The sequence below is a fragment of the Homo sapiens genome, chromosome 8, assembly GCF_000001405.40.
Source record: "Homo sapiens chromosome 8, GRCh38.p14 Primary Assembly".
Lineage (NCBI taxonomy): Eukaryota > Metazoa > Chordata > Mammalia > Primates > Hominidae > Homo > Homo sapiens.
Window position 1 is genome coordinate 99,718,143 of NC_000008.11, and position 18,419 is coordinate 99,736,561.

An 18,419-nucleotide genomic window follows, 5' to 3' on the forward strand; every position below is an offset into this window, starting at 1 on the left:
AATAATAGCTCACTGTAGCCTCAGTCGCCTGGGCTCAAGTGATCCTCTTGCATCAACCTCCTGAGTGGGTAGAACTATGTGCCACCACACCCAGCTAATGTTTTTTATTTTTTTTTTCAGTAGAGATGAGGTCTCACTATGTTGTTGAGGCTATAGATTTTTTTAATTATTAATACAAAGTAGTCAACCTGTTGCAAGCACAGTGTCACTAGCAATATATAAGAACAATTTCCTAATATTAAATATTTTACATGTGATGATATCTGATTACAACACTTGATAAATTAGTCACACTGCAAGCTCTTAATGCATTTGTCTTAACAGCCAAATATAGAATGTGTGAAGGCATCCAACTTATTTCTTGATTATTTTGTATTTGGATAGATTTTAATTTAATCTTCATGTAACTTGATGCCACTCTAAACTTGACATGAATCCAAAAAGCTTGAAAGATTCACAATGATAGAAAATTAAAACAACTAATTGGTCAATAATGGAGACATTAAATGTGAATTTTTTTCTTTTTTTCTTTTTTTTTTTTTGAGACAGAATCTCATTTTGTTGCACATCCTGAAGTGCAGTGGTGTGATAACAGCTCACTGCAGCTTCAGCCTCCTGGGCTCAAGAGATCCTCCCACCTCAGCCTCCCGAGTACCCAGGACCACAAGCATGCACCACTATGCTTGACTATTTTTTTTAAGAGACAGGTTCTCACTATGTTGCCCAGGCTGGTCTCAAACTCATGGGCTCAAGTGATCCTCCACCCATGCTGGGATTACAGGCATGAGCCATACATAGCACCCGGCCAATTTTTTGTATTTATCTAAAAGTTGTATTGCCTCAAGTTTTCACCAGTTTCCTTTTTAATGCACAGAGCAAGATTTGGGAAGATCCTAATAACTTACTGTTTTGTGTTGCTTTGGAGATTTTCAGTATCTATCAGAAATCTTCATATATTTAGCAATAAACATGTATTACTTTATCAAGAATATTCATTGTCTTACCTTTTTTCCAAGGCAGCCAAGTAACTTCACATTGAAAACGACAATGATCTGTTTACATGACCAAGTGCTTAAAAATAAAAAGTAAGAAAATTTTAAACCACAGCATTAATAAAAGCAAAAACAAAGTACAGTGTATTACCTCTGTATTACAGTCATTGTCTCTTGACAATTTAAAGGCTAGAGCACAACATTCTACTCCCCGTTTGACTTTTCACCTGTCTCTATTTTTCAGCATCCAATAAAAATAAGATTGATGAGAACACAAGTACACTTAGTGTTACATCTTTTACTTTCATTTCTGAGATGCCTTAATTCCAGAGAGCAGAACCTAAGGCTAGGGTTTAAAACTTACCCACACGATATGGGGCTATTATTTTCTACTACTATATATTCTTTTTTCTTTTCTGCGTTACCTGGTTCTCTTAGAATTGATAGTTGTATTGCCTTTATTCAGTATTTACAGAGAAAATTAACATTTTTGAAAGTTTTAATCTTCATTATAACCTACTGGTCATTATATGTCTATAACTTAGTAGTTATAGACTAATATTACTCACATGCAGAAAAATAAAACTTAATCTCCATTAGAGGAAACACTAAGTCCTTTTGTTCTGAAACTCTACTGTAGCTACTGTAGTATAATTGATTTTCAGGGGCTCTGGAATCCTCTGTGTTGGCACAGTCTTACTAAACACAGAAGTTGGGAGCCTTCTAAGTTCAGGTTCATTGAGAAATCTCCCTCTAAAAGTGCAGAGAAAGAAACCCTATAATAAGGATTGCTTATTTAATCTCATGGCAGAATGTCAGAGCTGTCCCACAAGGTTATTATTATGATTTTATTAACATTTTGGCCTAGAGGATCTTCATTGCCTTCTCTCAGACTATAATAGGTGTTCTTTTCCCTCTTAGCTAAATTAATTCATAAACATTACTTCACATCAACATAATTTCAATTCAACATTTAAAATTTATTGTTATTCACACAATATAAGATATAATTAATTTTTTTGTTGTTATATATTTATTCAAGCAATAGAATTTCATCCTGTAAGTCAATTACTTTTTAGGAATTATAGTTTATAAGTAATTAAATTGAACATAATTACAGTCCTACATTAATTCAAATATGATTATACCTAATTAGTCTCAAGAAATGTTTGTATTTAAAAGCTACTAGAATTTTTTTATGATTTTAAAGGTCTTCTGGGGTCAAGAACATTTGAATTGTTTAGTTCTTCTACATGAATTACTCAATGGATACCTTAATGAGGAGGGAAATTTTGAAGTACAAGTTTCTGAACCAGTGCCTCAAATGTCATCTCCTGTGGAAAAGAATCAGACATTTAAAAGTGAACAAAGTTCAGATGACCTACGGACAGGTCTATTTCAGTATGTACAGGATGCTGGTAAGTAGCAACAGACTCAGTATGAGAGTGTCTCTGTGCATGTGGTTGCATTTTAAATGCATGTTGACTAAATAAAAACAATCAAGATGGCTTTTTAAAGTGCGTTAAAATTTGCAGTACAAAAATAGTACATTATCATTCAATCTCTCTTAGGGGAAGTTCTTCATTTCTTTCTGTTCCAGAATATATATAAAAATGACCAACTAGCTTCTTTATATCTTTTATTCTCATAATTTCTTCTTCCTTTACTTTTTCCCCTTTGTCATGTTCCCCTTTAAATCATACAATTAATTATACTTTTATTTGACAGAATCTTTGAAATTGCCTGGGGTCTATGAAGTCTTATTTTATAATGAAACTGAAGATTGCCCAGGGATGATGTTATGGAGATATCCAGAACCTAGAGTACTCACCCTTGTACGAATAACTCCTGTACCTTTTAACACCACAGAGGATCCAGATATTAGCACAGCAGACCTTGGTGATGTGCTACAGGTATGTAATGACCATTCATTGTAAAATGAAAACATTGTGGGAAAGGGCTGATCATATATTAGGAAAAATGTTTGGAACATACTTACTTCTTACATTAATAGTATCAGAGAGAAATACACATCTGTGTGTGTGGTGTGTGTGTATCCACACACATATATAATGGGATTTTAAAAAATAAGGTAATAATGTAATCCAAATTCATGATACATGGCAATTTTAAGAGTTCTCAATTCTACTCTCCATTTTATTGTGAGTAGATTATAATGGGACAAGGAGGTGTCATTTAGTTCACCACTCCTTTATTAAGTGCCTATCATGTGTTCACACTCTTCAGAGTTTCTAGAACCGCCCCATGAAACAAAATATGCCCATGTAAGGCTAGAAAGAGATGACTGTAGTTTTCATTTCCATAGCTGAAATGGTCTTGGGGCTTGAGGTAGGCTGATTTTTCTATTAAAGAAAAGGTCTAACCTGTGATCATATTCCCTAAGGTTTTGTGAAAGTGTGTTGCTTGTTATTCCGAGTTTAATATAAATGTCATTGTGGATATCACTATGTTATCTTTGTACTTACTAATGTTCTACTGATAGGAGTTTCTCTTAAAATTTGTTTCTCCCTTAATCTTCCACCTATTACCAGATCATACAACCATCCACTCAAAATCTACAGGTCATTCCTGATTGCCTTCTTTCCCTACTTCCCTGCGTCAAAACCCATCAACAAGTCCTGTCAGTTCTGCCTACAAAATATGTCCCTATTCCATCTACTTCTCTGTTTCTGCTGATACAACTTGAGTTCAAGCTGCCATCTTCTGTTCCCTACTCCAGTAGCTTCCTAATTGGCCTCTATGCTTCTGTTCTTGACCACTTGGAATGCATTCTCCAAATAGCAGCTAAACTGATATTTTTTAAATGTAGGTTATACTATATCACTTCCCTAACTTAAAACCCTGTGGTGACTTCCTCTAATACTTAGAACAAAATTCAGATCTCTTGCTGTGGCCTGCAAGGACCTATAGTCTGGACTCTGCTCACCTCTCCAACTGGAGTTCATGCCAGTTTCTCCCTTTCTCATGATCCTTTAGCCACTCTGGCCTCCTTTTTCTCCTTGAGCAGACCACCTGTCACATTACCAACCTTGGTCTTCGTCAGTCAGGTACCAGCTCAAATGTCATATCCTGACTAGCCCACTACAACTACTTCATTCTGTATTGCATTTCCTTGTTTTGCTTTCTTATAGTTCTTACTGCTAGTCCTAATTATGCATTTGTTTACTTGCGTGTGATCTTTCTACTGTTAGAAAATAAGCTCCTTATATGTCTTGATGATGTATCTCCAGCCTCTGGTACATAGGTACACTCACCAAATGTTTGAAGTGACTGCTCTGTTCTTAACAAATTAGTTTTATAATACAAATCAGCTACATATTAATATAAGTCATATTACAATCTTATGTAATTCCTTTTTTTTTTTTTTTTGAGACAGAATCTTGCTCTGTCACCCAGGCTGGAGTGCAGTGGCAAGATCTCGGCTCACTGCAAGCTCCGCCTCCTGGGTTCAGGCCATTCTCCTGCCTCAGCCTCCCGAGTAGATGGGACTACAGGTGTCCGCCACCATGCCCAGCTAATTTTTTTGTATTTTTAGTAGAGATGGGGTTTCACCATGTTAGCCAGGATGGTCTGGATCTCCTGACCTCATGATCCACCTGCCTCGGCCTCCCAAAGTGCTGGGATTACAGGCGTGAGCCACCGTGCCCGGCCGAATTCTACTGTCTTATCAGACTTGCCTAAATGCAGAATATCTGTAGATTTTCAATCAACATGAAAATACGCATACATTAAAGTTTTAACTTCATGTAAGGGCTAAAGGTTTATAGTTATAGCTAGATATTAACACATTTATTAACATAAGTGTAATAACTAATTATTGGTGGTATGATGTAAATTATATTAATTAAGGCATCTAAGATAGTACATTTACTAGTGGCATATTTTCTATCTTCTCACGGTTATTAGGAGAGCATAGTGATTAAGAGGATGAACTATAGCCAGAATGCCTGGGTTCAAAGTCTTGCTCTAGCACTTGCAAACATTGTCACATTAGACAAGTAACAACCACTCAGGTTGGATTTTTGTTTTACTTTTTATTCCAACAACAAAATGAGGCTAATAATAATGTGATGATTGTAAGAATCAATATTTATAAAATACATAGAACTGTGCCTGGCACATAGCAAATGTTATATAAGTATGACTATTACCACTATTACAGATTCAGCAGTCTAATCCAAAAATCTGAAATCTAAAATACTCCAAAATCCAAAACTTTCTGAGTGTTAACATGATGCTCAAAGGAAATGCTTATTGGGGTATTTCAGATTTTGAATTTATGGATTAGGGATCTTCAACTAGTACGTATTTGCAAATATTCCAAAATCTGAAAAATATCTGAAATCCAACACTTCTGGTCCCTAGCATTTTGGATAAGGGATACTCAACAGATATTATGATGACTATTGTCCAAACTCCTTTCATCAAGTAGAAGCACAGGCTAGACCAAGGAGATCTGGAGTATGATGGATGACTCTACAGACCAGCTGGAGTAGTCCAGGAGATCAGAGAGTCCCAGGGACCCAGACAGTAGCCTTGGCATATAAGCAAAACACAGCCTGGCAGATTTCAGCAAGCAAAGAGTTGGTATCAAAAAGGTCTTGCTATGTTTCATATTTTGTTGGAGAAATGAAGATCCTATATGTGGGCAAAATTCAAAGACAGGGATGCTGGCCTAGGGAGCAAGACAGGGTTGTAACTACCAGAAGTTAGAAAGGAGGGAGAGCTGGATCCTAGTGGTGAGAAGGAGCGCACTCAGAATCTACAACTTGGATCGAGGAACAGATCAAGACTGGCAACGAGGCTGACTTGATACCAAGCTGCTGAGCTCTCAGTTCAATTCTCATACTCTCCCAGATAGGAGCAGAGTTTGTCCCAGAGCTTGGAGTGGGTCTCATCTGTGGAAACAACTCTCTTGAGTTGCAATATTAGAACGATACAAAATATTTTGTTTCATTAGAACTTCAGTTGAGGACAGAACATATGTAACATGAATCACAAGTTTGATTTAATACAACAGCTTTCTCCTTGAGGATCTACAGTGCCAGGCCCTGGGCTTGCTCTGGGGGATCCAGAGACAGATAAGACACAATCAACTCATTAAAAGCTCAATCCTTCAGTCTAGCAGGGAAATTTCTGTGGTCGTGTGGGGTAGAAGAATCTAATTTCATCTGTTGTCAGAATCATTCTCCTACCATATGTGATTATTTCTGGTTCTATACTAGAGGCACAGCTAAAATCCTCAACAGCTGATCCTGAATTTCAGGGAGCTTATGAAAGGAAGGCCCTAATCAACCTAGTGTATATTATAAAATGGGTTTTGAAGTCTCAGTTGCCACTGTCTCCCCACCCCCCGCCTTATTTTAACTAACTCATTGACCTTGGGCAAACTACTGATCTTTTTGAGCTTCAGTTTCCTCAACTGAACATTGGAGTTGATGTTATCTACCTTTCACAGTTGTCGTGGAGTATTATATCTAATACACTTAAATAAATAAATGCATTACACATAGTGAGCTCTTAATAAGGGCTTGTTTCCTCCCCTCCGCTTTTTCTTATCACACAAATGCCTAGACCACTAAAAAAGACTCCTAGATGGAATTCCAGGCTCCAGTATCTCTTCCTTCCAGCCTGTCCTTCTAAGTTTTTAGAGGAACAAATAGATTGTATAATTCCCTGAAGAAAACCTTCAGTGGCTCTGTTACTCTGCCAGACTGACCTTGAGAGCCCGGCATAAACTGCCCCCATCCCCCAATTTTGCCTTGCAGTCCCTTAGACATGGTCTGTCCTCTATCAAACTGGCCTATCTGGCATTCCCCAAACCAACCTATAACATCCTGCTTCCTCTTCATTTGAATCCCTCCCATCTCTGCCAGCTGAATTCCTCCCCACACTTCAGAAGAGCTAAAATGCCATGTAGTCAATGAAGCCTTTCCTAGATGCCATGTTCAAACATGATAAAGCCCTCCTCTGAAATCTTGTAGCACTTCATGGTACTACTTTTATGCTATTTTTCACTGTATTCCTCACACTTGAACTTATGTGTCCCCATCTTGTGTCTCTCCTAGATTGTATGTCTGTAAAGGAAGAGGTTGTATCTAATTTGTCATCATGTCCTTTACAGCAGGGTCCCCCAGCCCATGGCCTGTTAGGAACCAGGCCACACAGCAGAAGGTGAGTGGCAGGCAAGCATTCCCACCTGAGCTCTGCCTCCCAATCTAATGAGCAGGGGCATTACATTTTCATATGAGCGCAAACCCTATTGTGAACTGCGCATGTGAGGGATCTAGGTTGTGGACTCTTTATGAGAATCTAACCAATGCCTGATCATCTGAAGTGGAACAGTTTTATCCCAAAATCATCTCCCCACCCCTTGGTCTATGGAAAAATTGTCTTCTATGAAACCGGTCCCTGGTGCCAAAAAGATTGGGGACCACTGCTTTACAGTATCCATCGCAGTAGAGATGTTCAATAAATATGTTGACTGGATAAACGAATCCATGAACTTCCGTGTTCTGTTTCATATCATTCAAAAGTATTACATTATATATCACTATTTTATGGAACGAATGAATGTGTTTTGATTTTCTACACCAAACTATATCAGGGTGCGTTGTGTTATTTTTCAGTGGTATCATCTGTACACACAGTCTAATGTCATTACATTACTCAACCTCTTTGTGATATCATTGAATAGTCTGCCAAGCTTACCTGCTCCCTTAAACAGTAGCTAATTCTTAAATACAGAGATATATTAATCTCCTTAGGTTTAGTCCTCAAAACAGAATTGAGTTTAGATGACTTTTTCCTTCAAGACCATTTAATTCACTTAAAAATTGGCCTTATAGAGTTGGCTTATAATACAGAAGCCTCAGATTTGTCTCTTTATATTCCTCATTCCATGATTGTTGATGAGATTTATAAACAAACTCCCCATATCACTTTATGGAATTTATTTTGTAATTGTAATGAAAAATATAAACATGAAAAACATGTCTATAATAATAAATCAAACTAATCATAGGTTCTGAATAAAAACCTCAAAAGTAATGTTCCTAGAATGCAAAAGCTTATTTTATGGTCAGCTTATAATTTTATCATGTGAACTTTTAAATGTTAGTAGTATATTTAGATCTCAATAAAATTAGCATCTGTTAGATAAAGTAATGCCACCAACCTAGGAGTGTTGTGCAGTTTAAATGGGTCTCAATAAAAGAAATTTCTGGCACTGTATATGGCACATAGTAGGTTTTCCTCTCTCCTAATCCTCCTGTGTGCACTGCCTATTGAGGATTCCATTTTGGAAATGCATATGTTCCCAGATTATAAATACTCAATCCATTTTTTGGTAGTAAAATTGGTAATGGGTATTTTAATTCCTATACAGATCTGTCATGGTTCTTGGCCATTGTCACATGCCAAATGAAGATATCTAAAAGTTTATGGCAACATATAAATGAAAATAAATATGAAAACAAGAAGAATACAATGATAAGGGAACAGGAACAAATTCTTAAGATTGAAAATGCCTTTTTTAATCGAGAAAGTGTTAGCCACACCTGGCTAATTTTTGTATTTTTAGTAGAGATGGGGCTTCACCATGTTGGCCAGGCTGGTCTCGAACTCCCGACCTCAAGTGATCTGCCCGCCTTGGCCTCCCAAAGTGCTGGGATTACAGGCATGAGCCACCAAAAATTCTATTATTTATAAGTTACCCAGTATGAAGTATTTTATTATAGCAGCATAAACTTTCTAAGACACAGAGAGAACCTAAATGGTAGAGATCTCTGTTATTTTTGCTCCAGTGGGCATTTCTGATCACTTGTGTGTTTTGCACCCAGCACTGTGCTGGGTACTTTACATACATAATAACTCATTAAATTTAATTTTACTCCATGAGGTGGGCCTCATTCCCATTTTACAAGTAGGAAAACTGAGGCCAAGAAAAAGTTAATTAACTGGTTGTGAATCACAAAATTTATAAGTGAGGGAGCCAAAATTTAATCCCCAGTCTTTCTGACTATAAAACCTGTTTTTTTCACTTATATGTAAAAAATTGAGATGATACATTAGAATGACAGTGAGCCACCTCACTGAGAAATGTGGAAAGAAGGAAAATAGAATTATCCTTTTACTTCAAATGTTAAATCATGAAATAATGAGTTAGACAAAGATATGCAAAGTAACTTTAAGTCAATAAAAAGACTGCCAAACACACAAGATGGATTGGGTATTGTATTAGTCTGTTTTCACACTGCTGATAAAGACATACCCAAGACTGGCCAATTTACAAAAGAAAGAGGTTTATTGGACTTACAGTTCCACATGGCTGGGGAGGCCTCAATATCATGGCAGAAGACAAAAAGGAGCAAGTCACATCTTACATGGATGGCAGCAGGCAAAGAGAGAGCTTGTGCAAAGAAACGCCTGTATTTAAAACCATCAGATCTTGTGAGACCCATTCACTATCACAAGAATAGCATGAGAAAGACCTGCCCCCTGATTCATTCATCTCCCACTGGTTCCCTCCCACAACACGTGGGAATTATGGGAGTTACAAGATGAGATTTGGGTGGGGACACAGAGCCAAACAGTATCAGGTTTTAAGATAGCTAAAGAAAAAACTTTTCCTTTAGGAAGATGACTAGTCAGCTCTGGAGCCCAGGAGGGTCACAGAAATATTTGTTGGAATAGATCTTCCTGGCAGCAACCAAAGAAATGGTGCCTAAGAGTCTGGTTCACCTGGTAGCTAAATCCCCTTTATGGAAATGAATGTAGCAGCTGTCAAATCTCTATGTCTAACATTCAAATCATGTAACCACCTAAATATCCTTCTAATAGTTTGGCTCCCAGTGTAGTCTGTCTACATGGAGAAAGTATATCATACACTGGTTGAGCCAACATCAGTATCCAGACTGCTTGGCAGTTATACATCTCATGGTAACTTAATAACATAACTTGGCATTTTGTTTATATGTCAGTCTCTAGTGAACTTTGTTAGCATGAGTCAGCATTCCTAAGTCTAGTCAGTGCTAGAATACCACTGAAATTTTCTGAGACTCTAGGACCAATGGCTAGATCTTGAATGATGGTTAATCCATCACATTAAATGCCCTTTTCATTAAATGCCCCTCCCAGCAGGTTGGCCTTTCCCTGATGACATCTCTGTTCAATATGTCACAAACCTTTTCAAACAAATGTCTATTCTCACTACCTTAAGAGTTATGAGGAGTGGGGATAATGTGTGTGGAGCATTTAGCGTAATGCCTTACATAGTTGAAGACCCAATCAATTATTATGACACATCATAAATGGTAGCTGTTACCATCATTATCTTCTTTCCCATATCAATTGATCAAAGAATCTGGGATTCTAATGTGTTAGACCACATTAGACAGACAAAGCCCTGTTTTCTGAGAAGGAGGTTTTTGTGTTTATAGTCTGTTAATGTCGTAATAATTGTTAGGGATGCTGGCTCTGTGTGTGATTGATGAATGCTTTCATTGAGAGCAACTGCTGTAAGAGACACTATCTTCCCCACAGTTATGGTTAGTGGACTCTGGTAGTATGTCGACTACAGTTCTTTAGGTTGCAGGTAGCAGAAACCCCACTGAAGTTAGCTTAAGCTAAAATGAGGGGGATTAATATCAAGATACAGTGGGCAGTCCTGGAAACAATTGCAAATTGCAGCAGGGCCTCTGGAAGAACTGGGGCCAGGAATGGAAGATAGGAACCCAGGGGAATATTCACTCGCTATTGCTTTTTCTCTTTTTCTTTCCCCGTATTTGCTTTATTCTTCCCTTTCAACAGACTTTTTTTTTCTCCCTTTCTTCTTAGGCCACCCAGTACTTTCCCCACAGCTTCCAGAGCTCCAAAAGTCACATTTACAAGTCCAGCCTCTGTTTCAGATCCACATTCGTAATTTACCAAGTTTGATATCAGGTGCTCTTGGCCCAGTCAACTTTGGTCATGGGGAGAGCCACGTTTTACCAACACGGCTGAATTTGGGGTCATTGTGAGCTTTACAGAAATTTCCCAGGGGATCTATTTTATGTCACATCTCTCTTACTGCTCTTGCTTTCCACCCTGGCTATATTGGGCAAACTCATGGTTTGTGTTGACCTCTCACTGACAAAAATTGACTCAATTTTGCTGTGGTTTTTCCAGCTTTTCCCTTTGCAAATATCTGGAAAAGACATTCTGCTCTGCACATCAAAGGCTATCTGCATCTGGAGAAAAGCCTTACACCATTTTTAAATCCTGTCGCTGTCTTCCCCTAGTATCCTCTCAAAATGTAGGTTAGGCAAGGTCCTTTGTCTTACAGACACACATGAGATAGTTTCTTATCTCCAGTGTGCTTAAGATCAATACCTTTCTTGACTAGTGCTTGCTTTTTAGTGCAATGACTATGTAATACATTGGCAACTTCACAGATTCTATAGTCTTCCAGTTCTAATGAAGTATGAGAGCTTTACATATAAAGTAATTTTCTTTTTTTGAAATTGAGTTTACAATGTAATGTTTAATGTCTGTAGCTTGATGGTGATTTCATTGTGTTTAGTTTTCTAATAATATTTTATCTACTACTTGTCCACAGACTGAACTAAAGCTTCATTAAATCTTATAGTTGTGTGGGGTTTTTGTCTTTTTCATAATTACATGGAAAATGTTCTGAGTCAGATAGTAATAGTCAGTATTATCCAATAAAGTAGAAACTAGACTTTTGCTGCTTTAAATTTGACTTTACAAGCTTCCCGTAATTTTGAAGCACCTGGACCTGATAGGCAAAGGTTATGATATTAGCACATGATGGCACTACAAAAAGAGAATCCTTCTGAGAGTTATTTGCAATTGAATATGATTTGCCTCTTCCACACATAGCTTAAAAAGAATAAAAGGAAGTGTTCTTGGATGTTTCTTTTCAGCTGGGTTGGGCAGTTCACTTATAGCTGCACATATGTTCCCAGAATCCTGAGCCTTTTTATAAGCACCTCCTGCCCACTGGCAGCTGTACTAATGTGTCCCAGAAGGCTTTGCTCCTATCCATCATCTTTAGGAGGGATGCTCAAAGCCAGATATGAAATTCATTGTTGTTGAAATGCAGAAAGGAAAATAAAAAGGCCTGGGGGCTTTGGGGAAGTAGGAGGTTGAGCCAGACTCTTAGGAAATAAAGGAAAGGAACAAGTCTTGTGTATCCAGTGGACACAATAATAAATGTTTTTGAATGATGGGTAACGGTGCTGGATCAACTGCTAAGTGTTTTGCTTCCAGAAGCCATTGCCTCCTTTTTTTAGACAAAGAAAAATCTAAAATAGAGTGTTCCCTGAATACACTTTTAATCATTCTGTCTTCATAATGTTGTAAAAGTATGAAAAAAAGATCTAGGAATACATTAAAAAGAGCCCTGCCTGAGATTTTTGAGATTAACTCAGTAAATACAGATGAAAGGACCTGGGCTAAATGCTGAGAGAGAGACACAAAAGTGGAGAGGGCTCTAGCTCTTCTCTCCTGAAAGGTACCTGTAGGTACAGGTACAGGTACCTCCTGAAAGGTACCTGTAGGTACAGGTACAGGTACCTCCTGAAAGGTACCTGTAGGTACAGGTACAGGTACCTCCTGAAGGGTACCTGTAGGTACAGGTACAGGTACCTCCTGAAGGGTACCTGTAGTCTTTCAGGAGGGACAAGTACATAAAACATGACAGGGCAGAACCTGTGACATGCCACGAAAAAGCCACAGAGAATCTGCCTTTTTAAACGAAGCTTACATTTGAATTGAGACATCAAGACAAGGCTTCATGGAGGAGATGGTTACTGAGGTGATCCTTGAAGGATGAAGAGGATTAAAACTGAAAAAAAATGGAGTGAAGTTGTATATAAAGAAGAACTCAGTGAGCAAAATTTCAGAACTGGATAGAGAGGGCAGAACATATTTCTGGGAAGTGGCAAATCATCTGGTTTGACTAGCACAGGTTAGACAAGTATGGGATTAGTGGAAGAGTGAGTGAGAGGCCGCAGATGTGGCTTCTTAATCTCCATTCATTCCATGGTGGGAAAAGAGAAGGAAACTCATTTTTTGAGCACCTAGTATGTACCAAGCACCAAACTTGTCATTTTATATGTGATATCCCTTCTATCTTCCCTCTAACCTTGTATGTACCATTATCTTCACTATAACCCTGTGTGGTATGTACTGTTTAGAGCTAAGGTAAATGAGGTTCTGAGAAAAATAATTTTCCCAAGATCATAAAGCAAGTTAAGGGAGTAAAACCAGGATTCAAATCTCAGTTTGTCGATTTCATAATTCTTTCATCTTTGTTGTGCTACCTTGACTACATTTAGAGTGTGGGGTTTATATTTCATTTGATAGGCATTGGAGAACCACTGGCAGTCCAGAGCTTTGGAAACATTAGTAGTCTTGTGGAGGTGAAATGAATCAGGAGAGACCAGAATAAGAAGACCTGGTAAGGGTCTTAGAGAGATGAGAGGCTGCAACCTGAAGGGAGTAGTGGGGAAGGAGAAAAAGAAATGAATGCAAGAGAGGTTATAGAGAAGAAATCTATGTTCTTGACAACTAATATGGTAATTTAATGAGGAAGTAAGAGAAGTCAAGGTAATTGCAAGATTTAAGCTCAGTGGGATGTGTGGCAAAAGCATTCACACAATTTTGGAAATAAAGAGGAGTGCCTGCTATGCTAGGCACTATTCACTTTGTGAGGTGCTTTACACACATTCTATCTAAGCCTGAATCAACCCTGCAGAGAAAGTGTTGCTATCCCCCTATTACAATGAAGAAGCTGAGGATCTGAAAAGTTAAATGGGGGACCTCCTCTCCCTGAGCAGTGCATGAATTAACAAGAGATTTAACATACAATTTCAGGAAGTTTATAGACCCCCCTATAAGCCATGAAAGAGTCTCTCGTGAAGAATCACAAGAACATAAGAGACACTGCTGGGGCTTTTCAGCTCTATGTCAATTAGTATTAGGTTTAGATATGAAAGACAGAAAATATGCAATACCAGTAGCTTAGGTAAAATAGAAGTTTATTTCCTTTCACACATGGGAACAGTCTGGAGGTTAGTGATCTAGGACTGCGAATGTCTCTACGAAGTCATGAGGACCCATCTTCCTGCTGTATGCTACTCTGCCATCCCCAGCACCCTTTCCTTCATGGTCCAAGATGGCTGTAGAAGCTTCAAGCATCTTGTTCCTGCTCCAGCCACAAGAATAGGAAAGGACCAAAACAGAGCATGCCTCCCCGCTTTATGGATATGCCTTGGAACCCACACACTGTCCTGCTGTGCTGCTAACATCCCAGAGCCCAGAATTTTGTCACATGGCCACACCAAGTTAAAAGGGAAATGGGGCTCGTTTGCAGAGGAAGAAAGAAAGAGGAGATATTGGGAGACAACATCAGCCCTGCTGGCATCACAGCCATAACACCAAGGAACTGTCCACAGTCTCTCCACCCACCCAGTAAACTGCTTCTCATCTTGCCTGATTGTGAGCTTCTTTGTCTAGTCTATGGTGCAGTAAGAAAACTCGCTTTCCAGTTCATTAACGAAAGGTCTGCCAAGGCAGAATTTGTAGATAACACTTAAGAAGCAAATGGGATTTTCGAAACAAAAAATAATAATAAATAGTTTGAAATGCTAGCATTCCTTGCCCTTCAAAAAAGTAAGAGGTGGGGAAGGAATTTGTCAGTAAGACGTGCTTTTAAAGTAAATGGAAAACATTTGCAAACTGGAAGAATACTGAAGTCATTTTTATCCTGTCACTTTATTTGGTGGTAGAAATTTTATTAGCCTATTTCTCTTTTCCTATTAAATACTCTCACATTTAAAAGGGGGAGGGGAGCATTTCTCAAAATGAAGAACTATGTTTAGCAATCAGTGTGTTTGATGTTCACTGCTCAGTATTAAAAATGTTTGGGGTGTAAAAAATGAAAGAATAGTAAATATGAATTGATGGTCTGGTACCATCTTTTATGACTTGGTCTCTGTCAAATAGAAGTATTTGCCTCCTATGAGATTCACAATAAAAACCATTATCCATTAAGCATAGATCATTTCTTGGGAGCTACATTGTTGAAGAGAACAGCAAACAGAAGGAAAGAGGGAAGTACAGAAAAACAATGTCGTCCAGCTGTTAAGAGCACAGATTCTGGAGCTAAAGTCTCTGAGTCCAAATCCAAGGTCAGCTGGTGATCTCGGGCAAGTTATGTAAAGTAACTTCTTAGTACTTCAGCTTTCACATCTGCAAATTAGGGATAATCATAGCTCATGCCTCATTCAGTTGTTAGGAGGAATAAATGACTGTTGGATGTAAAAAAATATGTAGAACAGTGTCTAGCACATAGTGCTGAATAAATGTTAGCAATTATTATGTTCTGCTAAGGGCTTATCATCTGCAGGTGCTAATTTGCCTCTTGTTCTGTCCTAGATTTTGAATCTTGGAGGAAATCTGAGTTTTGATTGCAAGCTACAAATTCTTTACCTCTTTATCTGTCCTTTCCATAAAGATATTGGAAAAAAAATTTATTTTTGTCAAGCACACATGGCTTCCAATTTTAAAAATTCAATACCTAGTTAAAAAAAATGAAACTTTATTACCTTAGATGTTTTCTAGCAACATTTTTAAATGCTACGTCAAAGTTAAAGGTCTTGGTTCTCTTATGCTTTTTAGCAGCAACCTTTTTAGCAGCTTTATTGAGATATAATTCACACATCATACAATTCCCTAATTTAAATAGTATAATTCAGTGATTTTAATATATTCATGAAGTTGTGAAGTCCTCACCAGAATCAATTTTGGAATATTTTTATCACCTCAAAAAGAAACTTAGGACTCTTTAGCTTTCACCTTCTGGTCTTCCCAACCCCCAGCCCTAAGTAATCACGAATCTACTTTCTGTCTCTATATATCTGCCTATTCTGGACATTTCACATAAGTGGAATCATATAAATATAGTTTTTTTGTGACTGGCTTCTGTCATTTAGCATGTTATTTTCACAGTTCATCCATGTCGTATCATGTATCTGTACTTCATTCCTTTCTGTTGCCAAATGATATTGCTTTATATGGATATACCACATTTTGCTTATCCATTCATCAGCTGATGGACATTTGAGTGTTTGAACTTTTTGAATCCTTATTTACTTTACTTAGACTCTGTTGTATCCAACAAACTTGAGGGGAAGACCAAAAGATGATGATGATGATTAATCATATTTACAAGGTACTCTTAATGTACATTTTCTCAAAAAGCTTAAAATCTAAGCTTCATGAAACAAATAGATTGGCAATAATTACCCAGCAAAATACAGTAAGTGTTATAACTAAAGGCAGGGATGGGAGTTGATATAATAGGAGATGGGTGTGAAAAGTAGACTTAAAGCATGATAGTGGAGGGTTTTAAGTGCTTGCTGAGACACTTGGGCTTTATTCCATAAATAAGCACTTTATTCTGTGAAGGTAGTCATTAAGGCTATTGAGCTGAGCAATGACCATGACCAATTACAGAGGAAAGGATGAATCAGGACATACTATATATTGGATGCATAGACAACTGTTCAGAGCACATTATAATTACTCACAAGTAATAAGAATGACAGTTGGAATGGGAAGGAGGAAATGAATGTAAGATGGAGACATCTGGAGGCAGAATAAACAGATTTCAATGCCCGGATGTGTATGGTAATGGGAAGGGAAAATTAAAGATGACCCTATTCTAAATGACTAGATGGATGGAAAACCATTAATGGGGACTGGAAATGTCAGAAGAAAAATGGAGCAGCCAGGACTATGGAAGAGATAATAGGTTCTACATTGGACATTTAAAATTTAAGGTTTTGGAGGAATAATCGTAGTAAATGCCACTAGAAGTTTGGACATGTGGGCTGATAATTCGGAGAAGAGGGAGACTTATTTAAGAAATGGTTTGGGGAATTATCTTCATGGAAGTGAAAAGTGAAGCCAAGAAAGCAAAATAGAAGTCACACTCAGAAAAAGTAAAGAGTTCAAAGACTAGAGAGATGAGAATAGAACCATGAAAAAACTCATTGTATCTAGTAAATAAATAGTAGATGAGTAATTTTAATGGGTTGAACAGTTTCCCCTCCCAAATTCATTTCTACCTGGAACCTCAGAGTGTGACTTTATTTGGAAGTAGGGTTTTTGCAGATGTAATTAAGTTGTGATGAGGTCAGACTCGATTAGAGTGGGCTGTAATCCAACAAGCAGTATCCCTTATAAGACAAAGGAAATTTGGACAGAGACACAGACACACAGAGGGGAAGACCATGTGCAGAGGGAGGCAGAGACTGGAATGTCGCAACTACAAGCCAAGGAACACCTGGGATTGCTGGGAGCCACCAGAAACTAGGAAGAGACAAGGAAGGGGGTCTTCTCTATTGCCTTCAGAGGGAATATGGCCCTACTGACACCTCAGTTTCAGACTTCTAAACTCCAGAACTGCCAGAAAATAAATCTCAATTGTTTTAAGCCAGTAAGTGTGTGGTAATTTTTCATGGAAGCCCTAGGAAACTAATACAGGAATCAACAAAGGAGTGGTCAAAAAGGAAGGCCGTGGAGGCAACAGTGTCAGGAAAGCCCAGGCATAGTGAAAATCTCAGGAAGTTTACAGAGCTCAGTGGTATCACGTCTGCAGAAAGAGTATATTATGGACTGGGGGGTGGAAAACGCTGCGAATTTGACAACTTCCAGATCACCACTGACTTGAAGAGATCAATTTTAGTTGCCAGAGCACCATGTAGAGCCCTTTGAATAGCCCATCTCCCTCTTGTGTTCTCTGCGCTTGGGTCGCAGTGGGCTTAATTGTTTGAAATCCTCAATACACTGTTAAGTTCCATAGCAGTAGAGTAATGGTAAAAACATTTGTTTTTTACCAATGTTTCCCTGTTGTCTAGAGACTGGAACGTAGCAATTGCTCAGTATGTGTGGAAAGGATTGAAGGATGGAGAGAAGAAGTGAGGAACTAGAAAGTTACGAATTTAGTTTACACTTGATTTTAGGACATGGAGGGGGTTGTTTTTAGGAGGGGTTATAGGTAGAGAGTTGAGTGCTAAGATTCTCTCCTTAGAGGTGGAGAAATTAGAGGTAAAAATAACAGTTTAGGCTGGGCGCGGTGGCTCTCGCCTGTAATCTCAGCACTTTGGGAGGCTGAGGCGGGTGGATCATTTGAGGTCAGGAGTTCGAGACTAGCCTGGTCAACATGGTGAAACCCCGTCTCTACTAAAAATATGAAAAGTTAGCTGGGTGTGGTGGCACGTGCCTGTAGTCCCAGTTACTCAGGAGGCTGAGGCAGGAGAATCACTTGAAATCAGGAGGCAGATGTTGCAGTGAGCTGGATCACACCACTGCATTCCAGTCTAGGCGACAGAGCGA

General features: G+C 38.3%; 1 protein-coding gene across 2 annotated transcripts in view; it reads left to right on the plus strand.

Annotated features, from left to right (window-relative positions):
* Positions 1–18,419, plus strand: part of VPS13B (vacuolar protein sorting 13 homolog B) — an 864,307-nt gene that overhangs the window by 704,869 nt on the left and 141,019 nt on the right. For both annotated transcript variants that reach the window (NM_152564.5, NM_017890.5), the window contains exons 38-39: positions 2,203–2,410; positions 2,721–2,905. In NM_152564.5, the coding sequence (NP_689777.3) occupies positions 2,203–2,410; positions 2,721–2,905 (393 nt within the window). The remainder of the gene's footprint in view (positions 1–2,202; positions 2,411–2,720; positions 2,906–18,419) is intronic.